Source organism: Homo sapiens, chromosome X (genome assembly GCF_000001405.40).
Source record: "Homo sapiens chromosome X, GRCh38.p14 Primary Assembly".
Classification (NCBI taxonomy): Eukaryota; Metazoa; Chordata; class Mammalia; order Primates; family Hominidae; genus Homo; species Homo sapiens.
Window position 1 is genome coordinate 109,839,670 of NC_000023.11, and position 4,142 is coordinate 109,843,811.

At 43.6% G+C, this 4,142-nt stretch overlaps 1 annotated feature.

Annotated features, from left to right (window-relative positions):
• Nucleotides 396-908: an enhancer, noted in NCBI's record as "NANOG-H3K27ac-H3K4me1 hESC enhancer chrX:109083294-109083806 (GRCh37/hg19 assembly coordinates)". NCBI's record gives its function as "activates a minimal SCP1, AML or CMV promoter by ChIP-STARR-seq in naive H9 embryonic stem cells {active_cell/tissue: H9 hESC(naive)}" and the evidence as "EXISTENCE:reporter gene assay evidence [ECO:0000049][PMID:30033119]".

Sequence of the window (4,142 nt, forward strand, 5' to 3'; positions counted from 1 at the left end):
CAAAGACAGTATGGCCTGCAAAGCCTAAAATATTTACTATTTGGCCTTTTACAGAAAAAGTGTGCCAATACATGGGCTAACATATTGTAGGATCCTTTGAAAATGCATAAATTGCCTGAGAAAAGTAGCAAAGCGAGATATTATCTATCTGCCATCATCACTCAAACCTGGATTTGATTATTTGACCTGTTTTAGTCATTCAAAAGAGGATTGAGAAAAATAGTATAGATCAAGAGAAATTTTATAAGAGAAAGAGAGAAAGGCATGCCTTAAGCAAGTATCCCTGACCACCTCTGGGGAGAAGAGCCACATTTAAGTTGTCCTACACTTTGAAGTCATGAGGAGAGGCTAGGGAAAGGGGACTGTGGTATTTATGAGGAACCTGGTGAATGAACAGTATGAAGAACAGCGGGTGGGAGGAGGTCTGCCTCCAGGGGAAAAGAAACGAGCGGCTTCCTGCCCATATCTCCTCCTACGGGCTGACGCTGAAATTGCCTGGGAGTTACAGAGAAGACAGCCCAGTAGAGGCCTAAGGCCCCGCTATGGAGTGGGTCAGGCTTCCCGTTCATGGTTTCCACTGTGATGAACTTTGGAAATGCTTGGCAATACTTGGGCTGGGAAGCTGCCCACCTGAGAGGGGGTGCTGAATTGAAAGTTGTTTGGAGAAGCACCGAGCATCATGAAAGCCCTGTGTCCCTGGAGGACGGGGGAAGGGGAAAGTAGAACTTAATTCACTATTCTGCTCTTTGTTCTCCTTTGTACAAGTCCTCCAGATTTAGGTTTGCAGTTGCCAAGATCTATCAAGTCCCATGGCTTCGAAGTCCTCTGTGACTGCCCTAAACTGAAAACTGGATGATTGGGATTTCCGCCCTCTCCAAACTCTTTTCCTCCGCCAAGGGGATGCCATGCCCTGGGCCTGTGAGGGTTTTTCCCAGGAGAGCTGACTGGTGTGCTCTTTTAGCTGTCTGCTTACCTCCCCAGCAATTGCCTTGTACACCCCCACACAGACAAAACTCTCTTTCCCTCCCCCATCAGGCAAATTATTCCTGCTCCTCAGTGTGAGTCACTACACAGTAAGAGCTACCACAAGCCAGATTACTGCGTCAGCAGCCTCAACATGCTGTTTTTTTTTTTTTAAATGGATGGGGAAATAGGAGGGAGAGAAGAAGTGGGGAACGGAACAAAGTGAGCAAACCACAAACCAAAGGGATAGCTCTGGTCTTCTACTTCCTACTGGCATGGAGCGGCTTTTGATGTGTTAGGCAGCCTTCCATTTGCTACTGACTTTTGTCTCCCTTGCTCTTTATGTTCTATTTGTTCCCTTGTAGATTAAGGAGTTTATTTTTGGCTATGGTGTTAGGGCCCCAAGGGGACCCCCAGAGCCATCACAAAGGGGATTTAGGGCAGGAGCCTGGTGAACATTCTCATGGACATAGGTGTAGTCTAGTCCTACAAAGTTGAAGACACTGTTGGAACAATAAACATAGCATTGAGATCCAAGGACAATATAGGGAATTCATGACAGTAACAGAATAGGGCAGAGTGGAAGAGCCCTTAACCCTGGTAATAATAATAATATTAGTAAATTATTATTAAAACACTGTTTTGAGACACATGCATGTATACACACACATATATAAGGTGTTTAATATAAACCTCACAACAATACAATGAGGTAGGTAGTGATATTAATGCCACATCCAAGATGAGAAAACCAAGAGCTCTCAGGTAAAGCAATTGCCCCAAAGTCTCTAGGTTACTAAGACAGAGAGTCAGAATTTGAGTCTAGGAATGTGGCACTGGAGCCCATGCCCTTAGTCACTATACCGCCACTCAGACAAAGAATTAGTGCTTAAACATTAGTGGCCGTTATGACTTTAGATGTGAGAGAATCGTTCGATCAATCTTTTCCTTCCACAGCAGACATTCTGACATGTAGCTCTCAGTGGAAGTGGGGAAAGATAGAAGGAAGTAAAAATATGAGATGTTGTTCATTTCCACCTGTCCCTTGCCCTGTTGCTTACATTTAGGCTTGTACTTAGCATTGGCTGGGATTGGCAGAGTTCAGTCTGCCAAAATTCTTGGAGGCTGGTACTACAGCTTTCAAAAGCTCCTTGGAAAAAAAATGCTATCTGTGGCTTGGATTTTAAAGAATAAAAATGAAAAAAAGGTCTTTGAGTGAAAGCTTCAAGCCCTCTGTGATCCTTTGTGTCTGTATCAGGGATTTGCTGCTCACAGGCTCCTTGCCTCCCACCATTCTTTCTCACTTAGTAGGGTATTATAGGACTATTCATACTCTTAAGGGACAGTATACAAATTTTGAACTTAAAGAAAAGTTTTTGGTAAGAGACAGTGAAGGAAGCAGTGACTCACAAATGGAAATTTTCAACCAGTCAGAACATTCTGTCTGATGCATTTGACCAATGATATGGTATGGAAAGAGTCTGCTATCATCCCCATCTTCAAAATCAAAAGCTGCCTGGGCTAGCTATCATGCTTTCCACTGAAACAAAGTTCACCAACAGAAATTTTCTGGTATTGGCTACTGGACAAAATTGCAGCCATGTGTGCCCAGAATCACACTGTAGATTTAGGCTATAATGAAGGACCTTTGCTTTACCAGCATAATACAGGAACTGTACTCAATATGCAGTGACAGGACAGTTCCTGGAACATAGCCAGTCTACTTGCAGTGAAACAATAATCATTCAAACACAGCCTCTCAAGGATGGAAAATGGATAACTGTCCCATATTCAAACAGCTGTAATATGATAGATTAAAGTGGGCTAACCACAAGCTGGGTGAACAGAAATTTTTTTTTTTTTTTAGTATCACTCTGTTGCACAAGCTGGAGTGCAGCGGCACGATCTCGGCTCACTACAACCTCCAACTCCCGGGTTCAAGCAATTCTCATGCCTCAGCCTCCGGAGTAGCTGGGACTACAGGCACGTGCCACCATGCCCGGCTAATTTTTGTATTTTTAGTGGAGATGGGGTTTCACTATGTTGGCCAGGCCGGTCTTGAACTCCTGACCACTTGATCCGCCTGCCTGGGCCTCCCAAAGTTCTGAGATTACAGACGTGACCCACTGCACTGGCCAGAAAAATTCTATATATGTGTTGAGTCATGACTTCAAAACACAGACTGCAGTTGCTGGGGAAAATTGCAACAGACAGAAAGAATACAAGGTGTGCCATACAACGGACAGAAAGAATACAAGGACTAGGGCTGCTCATTCTAAGAAAGAGCATTAAAAGGCCTGGATACTCTCAAAGAGCTTTCAGCTGAACCTGTAGATCAAAGGACAACCTTTATATATGGAGAATGGGTGATATTAATGGTCATGGGCAGAGATCTACATATATAGTTATATACAGATATATGTTGCAACTCAAGACCAATCAGCAATTACCATAAAGAATATTAACATTTAACACATAGAGCAATACAATTAAATTGAAATGCTGATGACCACCAACTATAGATCTTCCTAACTTCAACATAGCAGAGACAGATGGAAATGTTATAAACCAGCTATAATTTTCCTTTCTTTTTCTTTTTTTTTTTAGACGGAGTCTTGCTCTGTAACCCAGGCTGGAGTGCAGTGGCACAGTCTTGGCGGCTCACTGCAGCCTCCGCCTCCTGGGTTCAAGCGATTCTCCTGCCTCAGCCTCCTGAGTAGCTGGGACTACAGGCACTTGACACCACGCCTAGCTCATCTTTTTTTATTTTTATTTTTAGTGGAGACGGAGTTTCACCATGTTAGCCAGGATGGTCTCGATCTCCTGACCTCGTGATCTGCCCGCCTCAGCCCCCCAAAGTGCTGGGATTACAGGCGTGAGCCACCATGCCTGGCTAATTTTCATTTTTTAAAGAAAGTCTTGTGACCAGCTTTAAAAGGAATGGAAGGAGGTAAGAAGAAAAGATAGGAGCTAAGAATGGTGAAGCAGGGTTCTACTAGAATGAAAGTTTGAAGGGAAAAGCTAATGTTATTCTTTAAAATCTGCATCTGCCTAAAATTTTTGGCAAAAAGTTTTACAAGGTTGTTATGCCAACTACCTGGTCAGCTGCCCTACCTGTCCAGTCTTGTGCACCAGAGGTTCTTAACCTGGGGCTTTGGCGGATCCTTGAGGTTACATGC